This window comes from Homo sapiens, chromosome 2 (genome assembly GCF_000001405.40).
Source record: "Homo sapiens chromosome 2, GRCh38.p14 Primary Assembly".
Taxonomy (NCBI): Eukaryota; Metazoa; Chordata; class Mammalia; order Primates; family Hominidae; genus Homo; species Homo sapiens.
In genome coordinates, this window is record NC_000002.12 from 26287600 (window position 1) to 26313147 (window position 25548).

Consider the following 25548-nt stretch of genomic DNA (forward strand, 5'->3'; position numbering starts at 1 on the left):
AGTTTATAGTATGAAGAGAGAAGATAAGATGCATCTGAGAAACTAGATTAAACTTGACATTGTTTGATCAAGAGCCACGTGAGCAATACCAACATGGTTGGAGACAGAGGAGAAATCCATCGTGGTGAATCTAGAGCAGGGTTTCTCAACTTTGGCACTAACATTTTGGGCCAAACAATTCTTTGTTTTGGGGGGCTGTGTGTTGTAGGGTGTTTAGCATGGCCTCTACCCATCGGATAGCAGTAGCAACAAGCTCCTCCCCACCTCTGCCCCAGGTACACACGGTTGGTATAACCAAAAGTATCTCCAGGTGTTGCCAAATCTGATCTAGAGCAAGAAAAAACATGGAACATGAAAACAGTGTGTTTAAAATAAAGCCAGAGAGGGCTGGGTGCGGTAGCTTATGCCTGTGATCGCAGCATTTTGGGAGGCTAAGGCAGCTGGGTGGCTTGAACGCAGGAATTCGAGACTAGCCTGGGCAACATGGCAAAACCTCGTCTCTACCAAAAATACAAAAATTAGCCAGGTATGATGGTACGCACCTGTGGTCCCAGTTACTCAGGAGGGAGGTGAGAGGATTGCTTGAGCCCGGGATGTTGAGGCTGTAGTGCGCTGTATTCACGCCACTGCACTTTAGCCTAGGTGACAGAGTTGCCTTGTCTCAAAAAGCAAATAAAGAAATTAAAATAAATAAAAAATAAAATAAGCAAGCCAGAGAGGAGTAGTCTACCTTATTATGAATTCTTTCAGGACAACCCCCAAGTCAGTCAAACCTTCCTATCCCTGCTCTTTTTTTGTCTGCTTGTGCCTTTTCAATGTACTTAACATGCCAGGTGTGGTAGCTCATGCCTGTAATCCTAGCACTTTGGGAGGCTGAGGTGGGCAGATTGCTTGAGCTCAGGAGTTCGAGACCATCCTGGACAACATGGCAAAACCCCATCTCTACTAAAAATACAAAAACTAGCTGGGCGTGGTGGTGGGTGCCTGTAGTCCCAGCTACTCGGGAGGCTGAGGTGGAAGTATCACCTGAGCCCGGGAGGTTGAGGCTGCAGTGAGCCGTGTTCAGGCCACTGCACTCCAGCCTGGGTGACAGAGGGAGGCCCTGTTTCAAAAAAAACAGAAAAACCAAGTACTTAACAGTTTGTTTTGAACTCCAGTGTATACTTGATTGAGGACAAAGACCATGTGGCAAATCTTTAAACCTGCAGTGTTCAACTTGGCACTTTGTAAATAATAGTTTCTTTTATTTACTTTTTTGTTTTTTAGAGGGTGTCTAAAAATTCTATGCTAGGATTTAGACTCATCTAAACTAAGGACATAGCTAGTACATAGCACTGTGCATAGTGCTGGATAAAAGATATTCTACTTCTGGCCGGGCACAGTGGCTCATGCCTGTAATCCAGCACTTTGGGAGGCCGAGGCAGGCAGATCACGAGGTCAGGATATCGAGACCATCCTGGCTAACACGGTGAAACCCCATCTCTACTAAAAATACAAAAAATTAGCCGGACGTGGTGGCGGGCGCCTGTAGTCCCAGCTACTCGGGAGGCTGAGGCAGGAGAATGGCGTGAACCCGGGAGGCGGAGCTTGCAGTGAGCTGAGATCGCGTCACTGTACTCCAGCCTGGGCAACGGCGAGGCACGGTCTCCAAAATAATAAATAAAAAAAATAAAAAAAGAAAGATATTCTACTTCTTCCCTTTGTGGTCCCTCAGATCATTATCTTAACCTGTGTAGAATAGTGAAGAAGGGACAAGCCCAGCCTTTGGAATCATCTAGACCTGGTTTCAAATCCTGGCCCTGTTACCTTAATAGCTTTGTGATTTGGGTGAGTCACTTAACCTTTCAGAGCCTCAGTTTTCCCCTCTAGAAACTTACTTTTATTGGTATTTGCTGTATCATGTTTATGTTTATACAGTTAAAAAAGCCCCTGGATTTCTCATTTTAACAGCATCCATTTGTAGAGCATCACTAGGAATTAGATTCTGTACTAGACAGAGCCTGATGCATATATGTATACATGTATATATGAATGTATATAAATATATATGTGTGTGTATATATATACACACATATACAAATATACTGTATGTTATGTGATGCCCACAAAAACTCTATGAAGTAGACACTATGAGCCCCATTTTGTAGAGGAAATTCCAGTTTAGACTGACTACAAACTTTCCCAAGATCACAGTGATTGATTGGCAGAGCCAGGATCCCACTCCAAAGCCTGTACTTTTCTCCTTGTTCTCTGCTGTCCCTGTACTAGGTGGATTCATCACCATTCATTGCTCTAATTGGACTTTGTTTTCTTTACAGGGCCATGCTATGATAGTGGAAGCTTATCCAAAATAATAGATCCAGAAGAAGTGACCTGAAGTTTCTGTGCAACACTCACACTAGGCAATGCCATTTCAATGCATTACTAAATGACATTTGTAGTTCCTAGCTCCTCTTAGGAAAACAGTTCTTGTGGCCTTCTATTAAATAGTTTGCACTTAAGCCTTGCCAGTGTTCTGAGCTTTTCAATAATCAGTTTACTGCTCTTTCAGGGATTTCTAAGCCACCAGAATCTCACATGAGATGTGTGGGTGGTTGTTTTTGGTCTCTGTTGTCACTAAAGACTAAATGAGGGTTTGCAGTTGGGAAAGAGGTCAACTGAGATTTGGAAATCATCTTTGTAATATTTGCAAATTATACTTGTTCTTATCTGTGTCCTAAAGATGTGTTCTCTATAAAATACAAACCAACGTGCCTAATTAATTATGGAAAAATAATTCAGAATCTAAACACCACTGAAAACTTATAAAAAATGTTTAGATACATAAATATGGTGGTCAGCGTTAATAAAGTGGAGAAATATTGGAGAACTGTTTACCTCATTTTTTATTCATCAGGGGAGGGTGGTTCTCTTGGCTTAGGACCAGATTTTTGCCTTTAATTACTCATTTATAACTTCTAACTATTGTGGTCAATGCTGAGGCTGCTGGGAAGATAAAGACAATCCTGTTTATTTATTTATTATTATTATTTTTTTTTTGAGATGGAGTCTCACTCTGTTGCCCAGGCTGGAGTGCAGTGGCACAATCTCGGCTCACTGCAACCTCTGCCTCCCCGGTTCAAGCGATTCTTCTACTTCAGCCTGCCGAGTAGCTGGGATTACAGGCACCCACCACCACACTTGGTTAATTTTTGTAGTTTTAGTAGAGATAGTGTTTTGCCATGTTGGCCAGGCTGGTCTCAAACTCCTGACTTCAGGTGATCCACCTGCCTCGGCCTCCCAAAGTGCTGGGATTACAGGTGTGAGCCACTGCGCCCAGCCTGACAGTCCTGTTTTAGAATAACACATTTTGTTTTCCCCACTGCTGAACTGCAGAATGTTTATTTCACTGTTTGGAGATGCTTCTGTTAGCTAGGATTTAAATAAAGTGTAAAGAAGTTTTTTATTTTGATCAACTACTCTAAATCCTCTCAGATTTTTGAAAACTACCCTGTACTAAAATAACATGGATGCGAGTGTTTAAAGAAACACTAGCTTCTTTTTATGGACATTTGTGTGACTGTTGCTTAGGTCTATGAAAGTTACTGGGAATCAAAATTACCCTGTAGTTCAGGGACAGATTGGGCAGGAGACCTAGTGCTAACCTCTTAAAAGGATATTTGAGAGTCCCAGCATCGTTTCCCCATGGTTTCCTTGGTAATTATAATGTGAGTTTTTAATACGAAAACCATTATATTTACATATATATCACAAAAATCAGGTATAGATAAGTTAAATATAAAATGTAAAAACCTTAAAATTTAGAAAAAAAATAACCCTGTGACCTTAGGTTGAAGGAAGAGAGGGATTTCTTGAAGAAAACATTGAAAATACTAATCATGAAAGATCTATAAATTTGCCTGTGTTGAAATAAGAACTTTTATTCTTCATGTGATGATACAGAGTGGTGGAGAAACAAACTAAAAGTGGAGCAAATATAGTAGATACAGCTTTAAAAGGATCCAGGATATATAAATAATTCCTACAAATCAATAAGAGTAAAGACCACTCGGCTGGGCACGGCGGCTCACGCCTGTAATCCCAGCACTTTGGGAGGCCGAGGCAGGCAGATCATGAGGTCAGGAGTTCAAGACCAGCCTGACCAACATGGTGAAACCCCGTCTCTACTAAAAATACAAAAATTAGCCAGGCATGGTGGTGGGCGCCTGTAATCCCAGCTACTCAGGAGCCTGAGGCAGGAGAATCACTTGAACCCGGGAGGCGGAGGTTACAGTGAGCTGAGATCACGCCACTGCACTCTAGCTCTGTGCGACAGAGTGAGACTCTGTCTCAAAAAAAAAAAAAGGCAAAAGATCTTAACACAATTTTTAGAAAATGATATGCAAATGGTAAATAAGATGCTTAATAGTAATCAGGAAAAACAAATTAAGATCATAATGAAATACACCTGCCTGACTGGCAAAAGTTAACAAGACTGAGAATACCAGTGTTGGTCTTGGATGTGGACAAATTAGAACTTTATATGCTGCTGGTGAGAATGCAGATTGGCAAAACCACTTTGAAAAACAGTCTGGCAACTGGGCCGGGCGCGGTGGCTCACACCTGTAATCCCAGCACTCTGGGAGCCCACGGCGGGTGGATCACGAGGTCAGGAGATTGAGACCATCCTGGCTAACACGGTGAAACCCTGTCTACTTAAAAAAAAAAAATTAGCCGGGCGTGGTGGCGGGCGCCTGTAGTCCCAGCTACTCGGAAGGCTGAGGCAGGAGAATGGTGTGAACCCAGGAGGCCGAGATCGCGCCACTGCACTCCGGCCTGGGCAACAGAGCGATATTCCGTCTCAAAAAAAGAAAAACAGTCTGGCATTATCTTGTACATCTGAATATAACACAAGGTCTGTGACCCAGCTTTTCTGCTCTTAGGAATATTCCCTAAGAAAACTTGCACATGAGTCCAGGAAATATGTACAAACCTGTTCACAGCAGCATTGCTCTTAATAGCAAAATATTCCTGTCATGATCACTGACAGGAAAGTTTCAAAAACAAGCAAAACTAAGTATCTAAGATGCCTACAGACGAGGTAAAAATAGTTTCTAAAACAGCTAAGGGAAGGGAAAAGAGACACATCTTCCTTACTGAAGAATTACAAATAATAACGCGTAGATACTCCTGACTTCAGGAGGTGGAGCATCCCCCGCCCCCGCTTTGAGTGTGGGCTGGACTTAGTGACTCAACTCCAGTAAATACTGTATGGAAAGGGAAAAAGGCAGCCTTACAGTGGAGAAACGGCAAACACCAGCTTAACCAGGTGATCAAGGTTAACATCATCAGTGCTGCCATGTGGATGCACATGCCTCCTAAGATGTAATCAAGGTACACTTCACCTCTGTGGTATTCTTTCCAAATACCCATAATCCAGTGGAATCATGAGAAAACAGGCAAACCCAAACTGAGGGACAGTCTATGAAATGCTTGACCAATACTCAAAACTTGAAACTATCAAAGTCATAAAAAGGAAATACTGAGAATTTGTCTAGATCAGTAGAGGTTAAGGAGACATGACAACTAAATGTGATGTAATATCCTGGACTGGATTCTGAAACAGAAAAAGGACATTCATGGAAAAACTGGTGAAATCTGAATAAAGTCTGGAGTTAATAGTTTTTTTTTTAAGCTTAGAAATAAATCCTCACATACATAGTCAAATGCTTTTTTTGTTTGTTTTGGGGTGGGGTGGGGGTTGGGACAGAGTCTTACTCTGTCACCCAAGGCTGGAGTGCAGTGGAGCGATCTCAGCTCACTGCAACCTCTGCCTCCCAGGTTCGAGCGATTCTCCTGCCTCAGCCTCCCAAGTAGCTGGGACTACAGGCATGCACCACCAAGCCCGGCTAAATTTTTTTGTATTTTTAGTAGAGACGGGGTTTCACCATGTTGGCCAGGCCATCATGGTCTTGAACTCCTGGCCTCAAGTGATCCACCCGTCTCTGCCTCCCAAAGTGCTGGGATTACAGGTGTGAGCCACTGCACTTGGCCATCAAATGCTTTTTGACAACATTGCCAAAAACAGTGCCAAGACCATTCATGGGGGAAAGGACAGTCTTTTCAGCAAATGGTGTTGGAGAAACTGGACATCCACATGCAAAATAATGAAGTTGGACCCTTACCTTACACCCTATACAAAAATGAACTCAAACAGATCAAAGACCTAAAGAAAGATAAAAGCTAAAATTTATAGTTTTATAAACACTTAGAAGAAAACATGGGGGAAAATACATGACATTAGATTCAGCAGTGATTTCTTGGATATGACACCAAAAGCATAGGCAACAAAGGAAAAAATAGATTAAATTGGATTTCATCAAAATTAAAAACTGCATCAAAGGGCACAATTAACAAAGTGAAAGGGTAGCCTATGGAATGGGAGAAAATATTTGCAAACCATATATCTGAATTATATTAATTAATATTCAGAAAGTGTAAAGAACTAAAATTCACACCCAGAAAACCCCCATTTAAAAATGGGCAAATAGGCTGGGCGCAGTGGCTCACGCCTGTAATCCCAGCACTTTGGGAGGCTGTGGCGGGCAGATCAGGAGGCTAGGAGATCGAGACCATCCTGGCTAACATGGTGAAACCCCGCCTCTACTAAAAATACAAAAAATTAGCCGGGCGTGGTGGCGGGCGCCTGTAGTCCCAGCTACTCAGGAGGCTGAGGCAGGAGAATGGCGTGAACCTGGGAGGCGGAGCTTGCAGTGAGCCGAGATCGCACCACTGCACTCCAGCCTGGGCGACAGAGCGAGACTCTGTCTCAAAAAAAAAAAAAAAAAAAAAAAAAAAAAGCCAATAATTTGAATATCTTCATCTCCAAACAAGATGACCAATAAGCACAGGAAAAGATGTTCAACATTACTAATCATTAGGGAGATGCAAATCAAAACCACAATGAGATACCTCTTCACATCCATTAATCCATTACTATGGTTACTATCAAAAGAACAGAAAATAGCAAGGGTTGGTGAGGATGTGGAAAAATGGGAATTCTTTTGTGCAGTTCGTAGAAATGTAAAATGGTGCAGCTGCTATAGAAAACAGCATGGCAGTTCCTAAAAAAATTAAACATAGAATTACCCTATGAGCCAGCAATTCCACTTCTGGGCATATACCCAAAAGAACTGAAAGCAGGGGGAGCGGGTGCAGTGGCTCATGCCTGTAATCCCAACATTTTGGGAGGCCGAGGTGGGCGGATCACAAGGTCAAGAGATCGAGACCATCCTGGCCAACATGGTGAAACCTTGTCTCTACTAAAAATACAAAAATTAGCTGGGCGTGGTGGTGCGTGCCTGTAATCCCAACTACTTGGGAGGCTGAGGCAGGAGAATCGCTTGAACCCGGGAGGCAGAGGTTGCAGTGAGCCAAGATCGAGTCACTGCACTCCTGCCTAGCGACAGAGCAAGACTCTGTCTCAAAAAAAAAAAAAAAAAAAAGCAGGGGCTTGGAAAAATATTTGTATATTCATGTTCATAGCAGCATTTGTCACAATAGCCAGAAGGTGGAGGCAACTCAAATGTCCATTGACGGGTGAATGGATAAACAAAATACAGATAAATTGGTATATATGTACAAGGGAATACTGTGCAGCCTTAAAAGGGAAAGCAATCCTGTAACATACTACAACACAGGTGGACCTTGAGGACCCATCACAAAAGGACAAATTCTGTAGGATTCCACTGACATGAGGGACCTAGAGTAGTCACGTTCATAGAGACAGAAAGTAGAATGATGGCTGCCAGGGGCTTGGGGCCAGGGATATGGGGAGTTGTTGTTTCATGGATACAATTTTCATTTTCAAAGATGAAGAGTGTTCTTGAGATTGGTTGAATAATAATGTGAATGTATCTTACTAAACTGTACATTTGAAAATGGCTGCACTGGTTCATGCCTGTAATCCCAACATTTTGGGAGGCTGAGACAGGAGGATGGCTTGAGCCCAGGAGTTTGAGACCAGCCTCTACAGAATTTGTCCTTTTGTGACTGGCTTATTTCACTCAGCATAAGGTCCTCAAGGTTCACTAGTGTAGCTTGTCACAGGATTACCTTCCTTTTTAAGGCTGCATAGTATTCCCTTGTGGGTATATACCACAGTTAAACCAGGCTGTCACTGTAATTAGAGCCTCTGCTCCACCAACTAATCATTTGGCAGTAGAGCCTTTTATTTGTCCTTATCTTTCGTTCAAACTTCCCCCTATTCCCCAGTTGTTTGCTTCTGATGGTATCTGATTCTAAGTAACTGCATGTTCTTTCTATACTCTATATAGTTTATTCATTTATTTATTCTATTGAGTGACTTTTATGTGTCAGGCACTATTCTGGATGCTGAGGCTACAACAACCATTAAAAAACAGACCAAAATTCCTGCCCTTTTTGCTTCCCCCTTTCCAGAGCCTCTCCTCTCCTCCTGGCCTTTCTCAGTTGTGTTTTTCTCCAGGCCTCTCAAATGCTAGTCTTTCTTGAGGAATGAAAAGCAAGCACACAAGTTTATACTTTTAAATATGCAAAATATTAAAGAGAACTTTTCCAAAATCATTTTCTCTCCTTCCTCCCTTCCTCCTTCCCTCCCTCTCTTCCTTCTTTCCTTCCTTTTTAACAGTCTTGTTCTGTAGCCCAGGCTGGAGTGCAATGGCGTGATCTTGGCTCACTGCAACCTCCACCTCCCAGGTTCAAGTGATTCTCATTTTATTTTTTCTGATTCTCATTTTATTTTTTCTGATTCTCATTTTATTTTTTTTCTAATGTAAGAAATACATGCTGTCCGGGCGAGGTGGCTCACACCTATAATCTCAGCACTTTGGGAGGCCGAGGTGGGAGGATCACTTGAGCCCAGGTTTTCGAGAACAGCCTGGGCAACATAGTGAGACCTTGTCTCTACAAAAAAGAAAAAATTAACCAGATGTGGCAGCACGTCCCTATAGTCCCAGCTACTTGGGAGGCTGAGGTGGGAGGATCACCTGAGTCCAGGAAGTCCAGGCTGCACTCCAGCCTGGGTGACAGAGAGAGCCCTGTCTCAAAAAAAAAGAAAAAACAAAAGTTTATTGCAGTTACATAGGATGAATAAGTCCGAGGGATCTGATTACACACACACACACACACACACACACACACACACACACAAGATGAGATGGACACGTTAATCAGCTTGACTTTAATATCAGTTCATGATGTATATATAATAAAAAATGCTCATTGTCAAAGAACAACTCAAATAATATAGAGTAGAAAAAAATGAAAAATCAAGTAGAGATACCCACTTACCCATTGATAATGCTTTGATATCTCTTCCTTTCGAGGCGCTCATACTTGTATGGACAAATGTGTCACCAGGCAGCTTAACTTCAAAGTGCATTTTAAAACTTTTTTTTTGTCTTGAATTTCAAGATATAACCTGGAAGCAAACTGTAGAAACCTTTTCCCTTAGCCTTAAAACAGACTCCATGACCCTCCTTTTCTCACGATATATACTCCCTTCACATTTATCTAATTGTATACTAGTATCTAATTGTGCCTTCCTAGAACTTCCAGGCACTAATCTTGAGACAGACAGACCAAGCCTGGAGACCCAGCTGCAAAATTCCAGAGATGACTTCAAGGCAGCTAGTTAACAACCTGGCCATTGTTGAGATGACGCCAGCCCACACACCAGGTGGACTGGGACCCAAGAGAGCCACCAGAACGAGACACACATATGTTGTATTTACCACAGTTCTTGAATGCCTTGCTTATCAAATTTTCCCTTTTTAAACCCCTGCCTTCCCCTCAAAAATTGAAGTGGTTGCTTTGGATGGGAATCTGGCTGCTTTCCCTTTACTAGGTTTTTTTTGACAGCGTCTCACCCTGTCACCAGGCTGGAGTGCAGTGGTGCGATCTTGGCTCACTGCAACCTTCGCCTCCCGGGTTAAAGCCATTCTCCCTGCCTCAGCCTCCCGAATAGCTGGGATTACAGGTGCCTGCCATCACGCCTGGCTAATATTTGTATTTTTTAGGAGAGACGGGGTTTTGCCATGTCGGCTAGGCTGGTCTTGAACTCCTGACCTCAGGTGATCTGCCCACCTTGGCCTCCCAAAGTGCTGGGATTACAGGCATGAGCCACCGCGCCCGGCCCCTTTACTAGTTTTGGATAATGAAATCACTTTCTTTCTACCAGACCTTGCTCTTGTTAATTGGACTCTGCAAGCAGCAAGCATCCACACCTGCATTCGGTTACATAGGGACCAAAATTGCATAGTATAATGCTGTTCTGGAATGCTGTTGTTTTACTTAGCTATATTGGAACAGAAATTAAAAGAAATTAAAGAATGTGTGAGCAAAAACTCAGTTACATGTAAAAAACCCAATTCCCCCTGAAGAAGAGAAAGAGCTGGAGTCCTTTAAAATCAACTGCCTGTTTTTCTGTGGCTAGTGAGCCTTCTCTCTCCCTTTCCCAGGCATTGTGAAGACTGTTTCTCTAGCTATGCAGCTGTAAGGTCACTAGACAGATAATCTCAAGTCATAAAACATGTTGTTCCTTAAAAAGTAAAAAGTAATATAATGCATGTCTCAGTTAAATAACTGTCTTTGCTTCTCGTTTCTATAATAGGCTTCCCCCTGCACAGATCTCCCCTCGCCCCACAAAATGCTTAAAAGGTAGCTTGACTCTTTGTTCAAGGCTCAGTCCTTTAAATGTTAATCCGACTCGGTCGGTGCATCTAAATAATTGAATAATTCCTCCTCAACCCCTCGGTCTCTCTGATTCTTTAATTATCCCACTGCATTTCTGGTGGCCCGTACAGGAACTGGAGACGACAGATTTACTGTCTCCTTTGCCTGGGGGACTTAGGGCCCTGGGGCTCGGGGAGACCCGGCATCCAAGGCGCGCCATGGGGGAGCTTCACCTGGATGGAGACTGGCTCTCCCCGCGTCCCAGTGCCCTGCCCGGCAGCGCAACAGAACCGGAGACTGGGCTGCAGGACGATACCAGCACTTCAGGAACCACGGTAAGGAAAAAAGGCCCAAGGCAGGAAAGCCCGTCTCATAGGGGCGAAGGGGAGCTTGATCACCTCCCGGGGACCAATCACTAATCCAACCCAGAGTGGCTGGGGGGCGGCAGGAATGGCCTGCCAATTTGGATGAAGCTTGTGTCCCCACTAATAAGGTGGAAAGGAGAAAATAGGCCGATAGAGCGGCAAGTGCAGCAAGGAAGAGCTTGCTGGCACTCTTGCCACCCGAACTGGGAGTGGGTATGTGCGTGTGAACCTACCCGGGACATGAGAGAGGCTCGTTTCGTCCAATGAGGAGTCCTGGGGTAGGAGTGGTGTGTGTATGTGTGTGAATGTGGGAGCCTAACTAGGCTCACCCGGCACATGGAGAGGCCTGTTTCATCCGATGAGGAGTCCTGGGGTAGGGGAGGTGTGTGAAAGTGTGTGAAAGAGATGGTCTCGGGAGAGGCCAACGCGGGGAGTGACGAGGGGAGGCACAGATCCCTTAGTGCGGGTTGTGTTCCGAGGCCAGTGTGGGGGAAACCAGACCTAGAACGTTGTATACGGCTGATAGGACCAGGTCCACCGCTGCAGCAGGCTGTGAGAGGGGAAGGCACGTTCCTGGCTAAGCAGCGTCCAAAACTCCCGTAATAGGACCCAGTCTGGTGGACCCGAGAGTAAAAGTGAGAGTGAAAGTGCGCCGCAAGGGAGGAAATGGGAGGAAAAGCGTCGAAACCAACTCCTTTGGAGTGCATGATAAAAAAATTTTTAAAAAGGATTTAGAGGTGATTATGGGATGAAACTGGATGCTCAAAATTTAAGGACATACTGTGAATTAGAATAGCCCTCTTTTAGTGTTGGACGACTGGCCGAAGGCACTACAGAGAAATTGGCCGTGTGTTTTAAGGTGGTGACTAGGGTTGGAGGACCACCAGGGCATTCAGACCTAGTCTTTGTATTGATTCATGGCTAAATGAATGCAGCCCTGCCTAGCAGTTTATTGTAGAACGCTCGCAGCTCATGGCGAGAGACACCAGCTGTGCTGGCAGCTACAGAGTTAAAGGGAAAGTCACAGAGCCTTGTAACTCCACAAGTAAAAAGTGAAAAGTAAAAGCCAAAAGTGAAAGTAAAAATCAGCTGTGCCAGGAACTATGGAGACAAAAGAAAAGTCTCAGGAAAGAGAAAACTGGTTTTGCAAGAACCACAGAAGGGAATAAAGACCCCTCCTCCCTACATTCCAATCTACCCCCCTTTACCAAGGCTAACTGCCCCTAAGGAGTTAAGTTCAAAGAAATACAGGCTCCCAGAAGAAAAAATCAGAGCTCCAGGAAGTTAAAGTGAAAGGTTACAAAAAAGTCAGGCAGGCCGTCTCAGGTCTGGCCGTGCCCAAGTTATGCTTATGCCTCTTAAGAGGACAAAAGGACCCCCACTAGGACCCAGATGATGCAGTCCAGCTTCAACCCCTACAAAATTGCCGAGAAGCACTTCTGCCAAAGGCTAAAGGATGGTAAAAGAAAAAGGTAACCAATATATATATATATATAAAAAAAATCTCAGAGGTGCTCCAGGGTGCAGATAAAAGCACCAACCAGTTTTAAAAAAGACTTTGTGGGCATTTTGGTTGTACACTCCGTTTAACTCTAAGGCTGCTGAAAATCAGCACGTGGTGGATACAGCATTTGTAAGACAGGCCCAAGGAGATATCCGGCATACATTGCAGAAGTTAGAAGCTCCGTAGGCGTGAATGCTACTCAGCTTATTAAGGTGGCTACCAAGGTGTACATTAACTGAGATCAAGAGGCAAAAAAGAAAGCTGATCGGAGGCTTAAGAAAGGCTAATTTACTAGCAGCAGCCCTTACAGGAAGAGAAGCTGGCTTTGCAAGGAGGCAGGGACGTGGGCGTGAACACAGTCGTGGAAAAGGCTAGTCTGGACAGGAGTTTGAAAGCCGGCCGAGGCTAGAGAGAGATTAATGCGGACAGTGCAAAAGGAAAGGACACTAGAAGGATAAATGTCAAAAGAATAAGGAAAATGGTCAATGGTCTAACACCCGAGTGCAGCGTTCGGTTGCTAGTTGTCATGCTTCAAAGGCAGATCCTGATCTGATCGGCTTAGCGGGGGCTGAGAATTTAGAGGACTGATAGACCGGGCTCCATCCTTTTAGGCCCCGGGGAGCCTATAGTCTCTATGGAAGTAGGGGGCCAATTAATGGATTTTTTGGTCGATACTGGTGCTGATTTCTCTGTGGTAACTCACCAATTAGTCCCCCCACAAAGAACTGTGCTACTATCGTAGGGGCTACTGGCGCCAAAGAAAAGAGGCCTTTTTGCAAATCCAGGAGATGTATTATTGGGGGACAAAAAGTGCAGCATGAGTTTCTATATATGCCAAATTATCCAGTGCCCTTGTTGAAAAGAGACTTACTCCAGAAACTGCAGGCACAAATCTCCTTTACACCTAAAGAGAATATGACACTAGAGTTTAGAAAGTTTAAGGCAATGGTTTTGACTATAACTGTCTCAAGAACTGAGAAATGGCGGCTCTATAAACTGTGTGCCAGAAGGCCACTGGAGGCGGACCTACACAATATGCGGGGAATGCTTTTCAAGGTACCAGGTGTATGGACCGAGCACAACCTCCCTGGACTTGCTGCAAACAGACCCCCGGTCGTAGTAGAGCTTAGCCCTTATGTTCCCCGGTACAAGTCCGTCAATACCCACTACCCAGAGAGGCAATTGATGGCATAACGAAACATTTAAATCGGCTCTGTGAACATAGGATTATACTGAAATGCAAGTCCTCCTGGAATACTCCTCTGCTGCCTGTGCAGAAGCCAAATGGTGAATACAGGCCAGTTTACAAAGTGTCCAAGGACAAGGCAAAAGTCTTTTTTCAGCAGGTTGGATAGCTAAGATTCATGGTATCCCAAGGCCAGTGCAGGCTTGGAAGTGCACGCAAGGAGGCTGTAGGTGCATTGCCCACCCACAGGTCAGGGAATTTCTAGGTGCGGCGGGATTCTGCCGAATCTGGATTCCAAACTTCTCCCTTATAGCAAAGCCCTTATATGAGGCTACCAAAGGAAAAGAAAGAGAGCCCCTCCTATGGGAAAAGGAATAGGAAAAGGCCTTCAAAGATATAAACGAAGCTCTCATCCAAGCCCCGGCGCTAAGGTTGCCAGATATTAAAAAGCCCTTTTTTTGTATGTGAATAAACGAAAGGGAATGGCAGTCGGAGTCGTAACTCAGCTGGGCTCTTAGCATCGGCCGGTAACACACTTATCCAAGAGACTGGACTTGGTGGCCTTAGGTTGGCCCCACTGCCTCAGGGCGTTGGCAGCTACTGCAATCCTTCTAAAAGATGCCAACAAGCTAGCCCTAGGTCAGAAGTTAATAGTTCGGGTGCCACATGCTGTAGTCACCTTAATGGAGCAAAGAGGACATCATTGGCTGTCCAACTCTAGAATGCTAAAGTATCAAGGGCTTCTGTGTAAAAATCCCCAGATAACACTGGAGACTGTAAATACCTTGAACCCAGTTCCCCTGCTGCCTGTGGAGGAACCCGACTGGAAGGACGGTAGGTTGCCTCGCTGCTGGCAGGACCTTCTCCACTGTTGCCTAAATACGGTGGATGAAGTGTTCTCGAGCCAGGAAGATCTCAGAGATATCCTCCTTGGAGAGCCCAGATGTTGAATACTTCACTGATGGTAGCAGTTTCATAACAGATGGGGTACGATATGCAGGGTATGCCGTAGTGACCCAACACTCAGCAGTTGAGGCTCAAGCCTTACCTTCTGGGACTTCTGCTCAGAAGGCTGAATTAATAGCATTAACCGGATCACTGTTATTGGACAAGGGGAAGAAAGTAAATATATATACTGATTCAAGATATGCTTTTGCAACCCTGCATGCCCATGGGGCAACATGCAAAGAGAGAGGACTTTTGACTACTAAAGGAAAAAAAATTAAAAAAAAAAATAAAGAGGAAATTTTGCAATTATTAGAAGCCATATAGGCTCCAGAAAAGGTGGCTGTCATTCATTGCAAAGAACACTAAATGGAAAAAAGCTATGAATCACAGGGCAACAGAAAGGCAGACCTAGAGGCTCTGCGGGCATCAATGAGCAAGGCTTTACCTGAAGAAAGACCTATAGCAACGCCTCTCCTTATAGAGCCCCCTTTGCCGGAGGTACCCAATTACTCTTCAAGTGAAACAGCTTGGTTTGGTCAGGAAACAAAAAAATATATTAAAGGTGGATGGTGGCTCTGACAGGAGGCTAGCCATCCCAGAGACAATAGCCCCAAGGTTTGTGAAGCAGATCCATCAAGGAACACACATTGGAAGGACAGCTCTAGAGACTTGGATAGGTTGGCATCTCTATGTGCCATGGCTGTCTGCCATGACCCGTGCTGTTTGTGAACAATGTCTATCTTGTGCCCGGAGTAATCCAAAACGAGGACCTACTCAACCTCCAGGAATTCAGGAAGTAGGAGCTGTGCCTTGTGAGAACCTGCTTATAGACTTTACCGAGTTGCCTTGAGCAGGAGGTTACCAGTATATGCTAGTGTTTGTTTGCACCTACTCGGGGTGGGTTGAGGCCTTCCCCACCGGAACTAAAAAGACACAAGAGGTGACAAAGGTGCTACTGAAAGACATCATACCAAGGTTTGGGTCGCCTCTAACCCTAGGATCAGACGACGGTCCTGCATTTGTGGCAGAAGTTGTACAACAGCTAACTCAACTTTTAAAGATCAAATGGAAACTGCACACAGCCTATCGACCACAGAGTTCAGGGAAGGTGGAACGCATGAACCAGACACTCAAACAGCTACTGAAGAAATTGTGTCAAAAAAACTCATCAAAAGTAGGATCAGGTCTTGCCCATGGTCCTCCTCCAAGTCAGGTGCACCTCCACCAAACAAACTGGGTATTCGCCCTCTGAGATTTTTTTCGGCCGGCCACCCACCCACCCATCATAAGACAGATTAAAGGTAATCTCTGTAAACTAGAAGAACTAACTTTAAGAAGGCAAATGCAGACTTTAAGTATGGCCATGTAAGAATGCATGACTGGGTATAGAAAAATGCCTATAAGTCTAACAGACCCAGTACACCCTTTCAAACCTAAGGATTTTGTTTAAGCTAAAATAATGGAATCCAACCATTCTGGGACCCATACAGGATAGGTCTCGTATTGTAATCATGTCTGCTTCCACTGCTGTTAAAGTTGCAGGTGTCACACCTTGGATTCACCATAGCCAGCAGAAACCAGTGGCAACAGAGACTCCCGATGATAACCAGTGGATTAACCAACAAGACCCAGATCGCCCCACCTGAATAGTCCTACGGCGAAACCCAACCACCGGTAAGAAGGACAACTGGCCTGCTCTGACCACACCGGAGGATGGTCAGTCTATGCACGGCTGAAGCTTGAGGATCCTGCAAGCTCTGCTCTAGTCACATCCTGGAAGCTGACTAGTCTACGCACAGTCGAAGCTAAGAGGACCATATCCGGATAAGTAAATGTGGATACAATTTATAAGCCTACTTACAATTCTGTCAACACTGATTGCTCTGCTGTTATGTTATCATTGCAAATGCTGCAAATGTCTATGCCCAGAGGAAGGTTTGCCATGCCCATGTATAGTATAGGCATGTTTCTATTACATACACTGTTGTCGTTACCATTTCTGCCTATACTAGAAGGGGAGAAATCTCTAGAAGGATGTCCACACTGTGTACATACTATCTGGGTAAGGAATAGCGTAGTTAAAACTCTACTGTACCATACCTACTATAAATGTACAGGAACCAAGTTAGAAACCTACACATACAACCAGAAACAGTCTGCAATGGTTTAACACAAGAGAGGCTTAGCAAGAGCAGCCCTAAACACCTGTACGGAGAGCTACAAATCGGATGCCCAGACTGTAACATTCGGTGGTCTACACTAACACATCTCCAACACTTATATTCAGGAAGGATTGCTCTGCTAAGTAGTATGTCAACCAAACCAAATTGTAAGGCAAGAACATGCAATCCTTTAAATTTTACTATCTTAAAGCCAGAGCTACCTTTTTGGTCTACAGGACAGACAGCACTATTATGAGTTGATAGACAAGGAGTAGGCCTTGGAGTTCCACTACTAATTGTCAAAAAGACTAGAAGGATTCAAATGTGTCCAACCCCACAATTCCGGGTCCATAAGTCATTCTATAAACATTTTGATCAGTCAGTGCCTGAGCTTTCCCATCAACCAAAAATTTACTTGCTCAACTAGCTAAAAACATATCTGGCAGCTTGGAAATTTCCTTATGCTATGTATGCGGAGAAACTAATATAGGGGACCAGTGGCCATGAGAGGCAAAAAAAGTAATGCCACAAGATAACTTTACTTCGCCTAACCCTGCCAGTGAACCAACAGCCTCAACCAGTGTTTGGTTGTTTAAAACCTCCGTAATTGAAAAGTACTGTATCGCCTGAGTAAAAAAAAAAAAAAAAGCTTTCACAGAGGCAGTAGGAGAAACAACCTGCCTAGGGCAACAGTATTATGATGAGACTAAAAACAAAACTCTATGCAGAAACGCCCAGAACGACTCCTATTTACCAGATCCAAACCCTTTCTCTCGGTTCTCTACTCTAAGCCACTCTTGGCATCAGCTAGAGGCTCCAGATGCTTAGAAAGCACCCTTTGGCCTATATTGGAACTGTGGAGCACGGGTGTGTCGGCACAGGCATATCAGCTAAATAGACAGAGGCGTGTGTGTTAGGAACAATCAAGCCATCCTTCTTTCTAATTCCTCTAAAGCAAGGGGAACTCTTAGGATATCCAGTTTATAATGAAAATTTAAAAAAAAACTAAAAAAAGCATAATCGCAAAAATGACACAAATGTCAAAAAAATGTAGACATAAAAGACTGGAAAGATAATAACGGCCGAGCTGTCATAGAAATCACAGCTAAAATGCGCAAGTTAGCCCATGTTCCAGTTCAGACTTGCTCCAGATAATCCCCGGATTCCTTGTTTAGAGGATGGTTCTCAACCTTTAAAAGATTCAAAACCCTCATTGGTGGGTTTTTGTTTATTCTTGGAATCTGCCTCATCCTCCCTTGACTTTTACCCCTGTAAGTAGGAGTATTTGTCAACTATAGAGGCAGTGGTAACCCGACACACTGCCACGCAGTTGATGGCATTAACCAAATATCAGCCGCTGCCAGTAGAAGAAAGAGCTCAGCTCTGTGAAGAGGTGGCAAATAGTGGTGCTTTCTATTAACACCTTTGTTATGAAAAGCACCAAAGGGGGGAAATGGAACAGAAATTAAAAGAAATTAAAGAATGTGTGAGCAAAAACTCAGTTATATGTTTAAAAAAAAAAAAACACCAATTCCCCCTGAAGAAGAGAAAGAGCTGGAGTCCTTTAAAATCAACTGCCTGTTTTTCTGTGGCTAGTGAGCCTTCTCTCTCCCTTTCCCAGGCATTGTGAAGACTGTTTCTCTAGCTGTGCAGCTGTAAGGTCACTAGACAGATAATCTCAAGTCATAAAACATGTTGTTCCTTAAAAAGTAAAAAGTAATATAATGCATGTCTCAGTTAAATAACTGTCTTTGCTTCTTGTTTCTATAATAGGCTTCCCCCTGCACAGATCTCCCCTCGCCCCACAAAATGCTTAAAAGGTAGCTTAACTCTGTTCAAGGCTGTGTCCTTTAAATGTTAATCTGACTGGTTTGGTGCATCTAAATAATTAAATAATTCCTCCTCAACCCCTCGGTCTCTCTGATTCTTTAATTATCCCACTGCAATATAGTCTAAATATTTTTCCCTATCAGTAGGTGTAGCTATACATCATCATTTTTAATGACCACATGGTGTTCCTTTGTATGGCTATATCCTAGTTTATTTTTCTAGGTGCCTCTTTTTAGAGGACATACACACACTGGAATGCACATTGTTTGTGCACATTATCTATTCACTCATCCACTTCTCTTTCTCTCTCTCTTTCTTTTTCTTTTTTTTGGAGACAGGGTGTCGCTCTGTTGCCTAGGCTGGAGTGCAGTGGTGTGATCACTGCAGCCTCAACCTCCCTGGCTCGGGCAATCCTCCCACCTCAGCTTCCTGAGTATCTGGGACCACAGGCATGTGCCACCACACCTGGCTAATTTTAATTTTTTTTTTTTTGTAGAGATAGGGTCCTCCCTATGTTGCCCAGGCTCGTCTTGAACTCCTGGGCTCAAGTGATCCTTCCACCTCAGACTCTCAAAGTGCTGGGGTTACAGGCGTGAGCCACTGTGCCTGGCCCACTTATTTTTTAAAGCCATCTTTTTAGAAATGGAATTGCTGCTGAGTGTCAGTTTTCTTACCTTTGTCTCCAAAGCCTTCTTTTACAGTCCTGTCTTGTTTTGTTTTGTTTTTTTGTTTTATGGTGAGAGCCAAGTAAACAAGAACTTAATGTCATTCCATCTGTCAATTCTGTGTGTGGCTTTTTTTTTTTTTTTTTTTTTTTTTGAGACAGAGTATCTCTCTGTTGCCCAGGCTGGAGTGCAGTGGCACGATCTTGGCTCACTGTGACCTCCGTCTCCCCGGTTCAAGCAATTCTCTTGCCTCAGCCTCCCGAGTAGCTGGGACTACAGGCACGCGCCACCACACCTGGTGAATTTTTGTATTTTTAGTGGAGGCAGGGTTTCACCATGTTGTCCATGCTGGTCTCGAACTCCCGACCTCATGTGATCTGCCCACCTGGGCCTCCCAAAGCGCTGGGATTACAAGCATGAGCCACAGTGCCCAGTGTAATTCTGTGTGTTTTTACCAGCAGAGCATGCATTGAGTATGTGCAAACAATTGCGAAGGAAAATTAGAGCACATATATCTACAGAAGCGCACTCAGAAAGGGGGACCCTGTTGCTTCTAAAGTGAAAGAGTATTATTTGGATTTGTAACCAAAAGATACTTTTGTAATTTATAAAATGAAAACTATCAGTGAAGTGGAAGTGAAATGAAGTGGGGTTGAGACATGTCTATGCTGCAAGGCAGAGCTTGCTCTGTCTTAGTCACCACCTGCCTCCTACAGGGCTGGAGTGAGTGTGAGGCTTAGAAACACTGCAATGGGCCCGGGCACGGTGGCTCACACCTGTAATCCCAGCACTTTGGGAGGCCGAGGTGGGTGGATCGTGAGGTCAGGAGATGGAGACCATCCTGGCTAACACGGTGAAACCCCGTCTCTACTAAAAATACAAAAAATTAGCTGGGCGTGGTGGCGGGCACCTGTAGTCCCAACTACTCGGGAGGCTGAGGCAGGAGAATGTAGTGAACATGGGAGATGCAGCTTACAGTGAGCCGAGATTGCACCACTCCACTCCAGCCTGGGTGACCGAGCAAGACTCTGTCTCAAAAAAAAAAAAAAAAAAAAAAAAAAAGAGAACACTGCAATGGCCCTGCTGAATTGGTGGCTTCTCTTTGAAAGTATAATGAATCCACTTATAGAAACATTTGGGCCAATTTATACACAATTCAAATATTCACACTAATCATTAAGTGAAGGCATGGCGTTTGTAAGAAAAGTGTTTTCAACGGTACGTGATAGCATAACCATTTTTATTTTAACAGAAAATGCCCCCGTCCCATTTTATAAAAAATATCCATGAATTGCATAATTAACAAAGACCGATTCATCAGACTTTTTTCACGTATCTAGTTTAAAAATTTCTCAGAATCCTGTCATCTTCCTCTTGTGAATTCCATAAGTTAATTCAGCCAGATAGATATCTTGGTGTCTTCAAAAAGATTTTCTTCTAGTATTCATTTTTAAATATAAATTAAACTTTATTAATTGATATAAATTTATATTAAACTTTAAATTTTTATAACCTATTCTTACAACGTGCTCATATCAATCAATGCCTCTATACATGGATATGGTTAAGAAACTTACATTTTATATTGATTTTTTAAAGGTTAAAGAAAGAGGGACCAATTAACTTCACCTTTTCCTAAACTTGAAAAGACAAACCAAATTCTGCCCTTCATCTCCAATGTTTGAAAGATCAGAGGTTCCTGTCAAGTAAGTCATCCTTTCTTCATAACTATTGAAAAAGAAATAATCAGAAATCGCTGAATAGGTCAATTAAAACCATTTTTATCAAATATATTCATTCACAACATGTATTGTTGTAGTTAAAAACTGGTTGAGAAAGTTTACTTGTAATTATTCCGCACTTTGATATCTGTCGATTATTTCTGGAGCAAAGGCAGGCTTATTCATTAGGTGCCTTTAGCTAATTTTTCCTGCTATTCTTGCTGGATACTTTAGAAATGAGAAGGGGTGAGCTGTAAGATAAATGAGTGTCACTAAGGGAAATATAAGCCTGCCTTTCTCAAGGGCTGAGCTCCGGGAGGCGGGAAGAGTTCAGAGCATTGGGCCAGGGCTCATCTGGTGGGTTCAAGCACACAGCCTCAACTCCCTTGCAGGAACATGGGTCCGTGTGTGGTTCACTCTGAAGCATCTGTCTTCCTGTGAAAGAGCTTGCGGCTGGTGAGTGGATACTGAGCCCAACTTCTGCAGGCTGCCCTCCCCTCTGGATACCAAGCCCACCCATGGCAATCCCTTCAAGGCGTGACTCTCATGATAATTAAATGTGTGATAATGTGAAAAGGAATTTTCAGAGAAACCAAGTCAAGGACTGGTGGTGGTGAAACTTCTTGCTTTCTTGGAAAGCAAGATAAGGTGCTATGCTTTCTGCTCTCTGACATTTCCACCGTCTCCCAGCCATCTAGCAATGGCTACCCTAGAAAAACCTGTTTCCTACCCTTTGGTGTGGGCTGGGTATAGAAAGAGGAGGCTTCTCTCCAGCACTTTGCCAGGAGGCCCTTTGCCACACCGTCCTCAATCCACCCTGCTTACGCTGCCCCTGAGAAAGCCTAGTTCTCACCTGGCAGTGTCGCTTCCTCCTTTGCTGTGTTCCAAGATGCAGCCTTCATTTGTGGCCTAGGAAGGGGTGGGAAGGCCCAATTGCAGGGCAGTTATTAGTATTGTCAACTCTCCCTTGAAGAGGTTGTATCTGTTTTACTTTCTCACATGCACTCCTGCCTGTGCTGCAGGAATCCTAGAAATTTTGCTCTCAGCTACAGTAACTCCCATGAGTACTGATCCCACACTTTTCCTTCAAATGCTAACTGGAGGCAGATTTTTAGATGGAGAAACCAGAGAAAAGAGAGTCAGCAGGAGTCCAGGTGATAATCAGGAACCCAGGACCCTGATCCTGACTGCTCTGACCAGGCTGCTCATTCCACTGGTGGGGAGCTGGAACCGGAAAACTGTTCATTCTAAAAAACAACCCCAATCTTCTCTCAGCTTCTGGCTGTGCCCATGTCCTCTGAGGAGGGCCATGGAATGCCTTCTGACATGCTCTTGGATGCACAGCTGAGGATCTGAAGGCAGCAACTCACCAGGGAGATGGTGGAGCTGGGGGCTTGGGCGCGGCAGAAGCGTTTGCGCAAAGCTTCTTGTATCTGCGGGAGAGGTAAATGCTCTGCTTATGCCAGCCACGGCCCCGGCCTGCGGGCTGCAAGTGAGGCAGGGGGTTAGGTGGGCAGACTTACCTTCCTGTCCATGAGGCAACCAAACAATAGGATGAAGACGCCCTGAGAAGAGGGACATGGGGATAAGCTGGTCAAGGAGGAAGGGATCCACCCGAATCAACATGCTCCTTCTGTCCTGTGTAATTCACATCCTAAGGCTTCTCATCTCAATTTTTCTGTTACCACTATTTGGTGCATAGGATCCATTTCAGGTGCTTTTCTTATTGTTATGGTTATAAAAGGGATAGCAAAGGATTGGGTACTGACAATTTCCTGATTTCTCCAACAAAATCAGCTATTATTTTACAGATAAGAAAACCAAAGCTCAGAGAGGTTATGTAATTTGTCCAAAGTTATCCAGCTACTCAGTGGAGGAACTGGGATCCACACCTAAGCCTTCCAAAATTCCTGAACCTATGTTTCTTCTGCTCCACCTTGGTACCTCCTAGAGAAGAGATCGGCAGTGACTTAGACCATCTAAAAAAGCAAAAAACACAGCCACCCCCCTATCACCTACCTGGAGGGTGTTGAGAATGGTGAAGATGTAATGAGGGACCGTGGAGACTTCCTCTAACAGAGTGGCCAGGCCCAGCCCCCAGGTGAGGCCAAAGATGGGTGTAAGAATGAGCAGGGCTTTGATCACCCCCAGCAGAGCTTGGCGCTTCTCTGCTGGGGGTCCCTCTGACAGCGAAGGTCTCAGCAACTTCAGCATGGCCATGGCTAGTACCAGCCCATTCACGCCTATGATGGCCAGCACTGGCCCCACGAAGGTGTATAACGCCCCTCCCTTCCCATCCAACCAGCATTCCCCCTCCCTCAGGTATTGCCCTTGAGGTAGGTAGAGCCCCAGGGTGACACCTGCCAACCCCAGTGGGCACAGGTAGCCCAGGAGCACCATGAGGGGGAGAACTCGGTGCTTTGCCAGCTGGTGAAAGACAAAGAGCAGCTGGTGGGCCAACACCAGGGCCTGCGCCAGCATCCAGAAAAAGGTGGCCAGGTAGAGGAAATGACAGAGGAAGGCGGCAGCAAGGCAGAGCGGGCTTCGGGGCCCTGGAGAGAGGAATGGGGCGCCCAGGAAGCAAGTGTCTGCGGCCAGCAAGCAGAACACCATGTTGAGCAGGGCGGCGTGGCGGAAATAGGAGATCTTGTTCCGCACCACGACTCTCCACACCAGCCAGTACACACCCAGGCACACAAGCAGCGCCAGTATGGAAGCTCCCAAGCCCACTTGAGTCAGCAGCGCCAGAGCGGGTTCTTCCGGAACAGTGTGTGGGGACATGAGGACGGAGAAGGCAGTGAGGTGCTGGCAGAGGCACTGAGCAGTGGGGCTGGCACTGGCCACCTGTGCCTGGCACCCTTCTTTGGACCAACCCCCCCTGCCCTGGAAGAGACTGTGATCCCAGAAGACACAGTGAGGGGAACCATCTGTGTTCCCAAAGTCCATGATGACCTCTCCCTGGCTGAAGGCCCGGTCACCTGCCATGATGGAAATGACAAGGACCAGGCCAGGAGTGGCATAGAGGGAATCCCCCAGCCCTTGTCCATAGTTTGAGGGCAGAAGGTGGTCCAGTTTTCGCAGCACCAGGCTAGTAATACTTATTTCAGTTCCATTACGGACCAATGGGGCCAGTGAGTGCCTGGGAATCTGAGCCTGCAGTGGGGGCCGAGTAGGGAAGGAGATGCTGTAGTCAGCAGGAAACGTGGGTCCAAACAGCTGGCTCTGCAGCAGCACATTGGGTAAGCTGAAGGCGAAGGGGTGGTCCTGTGGGCACAGGCTGCATGCCAGGGTCTCCACAGCCAGCAGGAGAGTCGAGCCTGCCCAGGGCTTCCGGGCTTGGGCCAGGGTCCACAGAGACCTGGTGTCCATATCTAGGACCTTGTCTGTGGCAATCAGGAGATTCTGCAGCACCCAAAAGAAAGATGAACCCCGTCTGCTGGCGCCCACAGGACTGAGCCGGGGGCAATGAGAACAACAGACCCCACACCTTCCCTTCCCAGTCCAGTGTGCGACCCAAGGTTGGAGAGAAAAGGGAGAGGAAGACAGGCCTGTGAAGGGAGACTTTCTAGATGGGAAGAACAGGGAGCTGTTTGGCCAACCACCTGGGGCATCTTCAAGGATATGTCCCCTGACCTGCACCCAGCCCCTCTGCTGAAAACCCTTCTTCCCCCTCCATCCCTAGGGGCCACCCAGGTTCTAAGAGGGGACTTCTCCCATTCTTTGGCCCCTCCAGGTCTGCAAAGCTAGGAATGGTGACCAGCAGTGGTAGAGGGCACCGTGTCCTGGAGGCGACGGCCACACGCATGTCTGTGCATTCACACATGCCATGTATTCCCAGGCATAAACGGTGTGTAATATCATTGCCCTTTGTTACACTTTTGGCTGCAGCTCATGGGTCACCAATGGATGCCCATACAGAGAGCCGATTTAGGTGAGCCCAGCAAAGCCAAGCATACTTCAGCGTCTCCATAGAAACTTCCTGTCTGTATCATAGCCACACGCCTGCATGCGCACACACGCCTCGGGCCTCATGTCTCCACACCCTTGCCTGCCTCCAACCCCCATGTGCTCCCAGCGCCAGGCCTCCATTCTGCAGCCTCAGAGAGTGGTGTCTGAGAGGAGAAATGGATCAGGAGCAGGCCCCTGGACTCTGGAAAGGTCTGCTGCCCAACAGCCCATGGTGACATCAGAGGGACAGAAATGCCCACAGGTGGGGAGTCTTCAGCCCCCGACTGCCCAGCTGGCCCCCACTGTGGCTCAGAGATCTCACCTTCAGGGCTCTGCGGTCAAGCTGTATTCTGGCCTCTGCCACCACCTTGGCCACGTATTTCATGGTGCTCAGCAGGGTCAGTAAGTCGGAGGGTGAACTTGCCTCTGCCGCCTGCCCTGGCAGCTGTGCCAGGATCTGTGGCACCTCCTCAGCAGGACTGCCCTGGCCTGCCTGCAGCAGCTGAGACAGACGAGACAGCATGAAG

At 45.4% G+C, this 25548-nt stretch overlaps 2 protein-coding genes and 1 long non-coding RNA gene across 24 annotated transcripts in view; 2 read left to right on the top strand and 1 right to left on the bottom strand.

Annotated features, from left to right (window-relative positions):
• Nucleotides 1-2866, top strand: part of HADHB (hydroxyacyl-CoA dehydrogenase trifunctional multienzyme complex subunit beta) — a 45527-nt gene extending 42661 nt beyond the window's left edge. For all 4 annotated transcript variants that reach the window (XM_011532803.2, NM_001281513.2, NM_000183.3 and 1 more), the window contains one exon: nucleotides 2319-2866. In XM_011532803.2, coding sequence (XP_011531105.1) covers nucleotides 2319-2354 — 36 coding nt within the window. In that variant the 3' untranslated portion in view covers nucleotides 2355-2866. The remainder of the gene's footprint in view (nucleotides 1-2318) is intronic.
• On the top strand, nucleotides 10143-25360 carry LOC105374334 (uncharacterized). Of its 5 annotated transcripts, none has more exons than XR_007086250.1 (4): nucleotides 10143-11027; nucleotides 16232-16523; nucleotides 20952-21058; nucleotides 21466-21669. It is a non-coding gene; the product is annotated as an uncharacterized LOC105374334 (long non-coding RNA). The 5 variants fall into 5 exon arrangements; XR_939853.3 differs by lacking the exon at nucleotides 10143-11027 and adding an exon at nucleotides 24807-25360 and having other exon boundaries at nucleotides 11450-16523; nucleotides 21466-21529; XR_939854.3 differs by lacking the exon at nucleotides 10143-11027 and adding an exon at nucleotides 22885-23104 and having other exon boundaries at nucleotides 11450-16523; nucleotides 21466-21529.
• The window catches only part of ADGRF3 (adhesion G protein-coupled receptor F3), a 38617-nt gene continuing 33642 nt past the window's right edge, over nucleotides 20574-25548 (bottom strand). For 5 of the 15 annotated variants that reach the window (NM_001393343.1, NM_153835.4, NM_001321971.2 and 2 more), the window contains 6 exons: nucleotides 25344-25523; nucleotides 23093-24475; nucleotides 22597-22638; nucleotides 22444-22506; nucleotides 21927-21982; nucleotides 20576-21508 (listed from right to left, as the gene is read on the bottom strand). In NM_001393343.1, coding sequence (NP_001380272.1) covers nucleotides 21487-21508; nucleotides 21927-21982; nucleotides 22444-22506; nucleotides 22597-22638; nucleotides 23093-24475; nucleotides 25344-25523 — 1746 coding nt within the window. In that variant the 3' untranslated portion in view covers nucleotides 20576-21486. Of the gene's footprint in view, nucleotides 21983-22344; nucleotides 22507-22596; nucleotides 22639-23092; nucleotides 24476-25343; nucleotides 25524-25548 lie in introns of those variants that run through there. The other 10 variants (XM_047443563.1, XM_011532621.4, XM_011532622.3 and 7 more) reach the window with 4 other exon arrangements.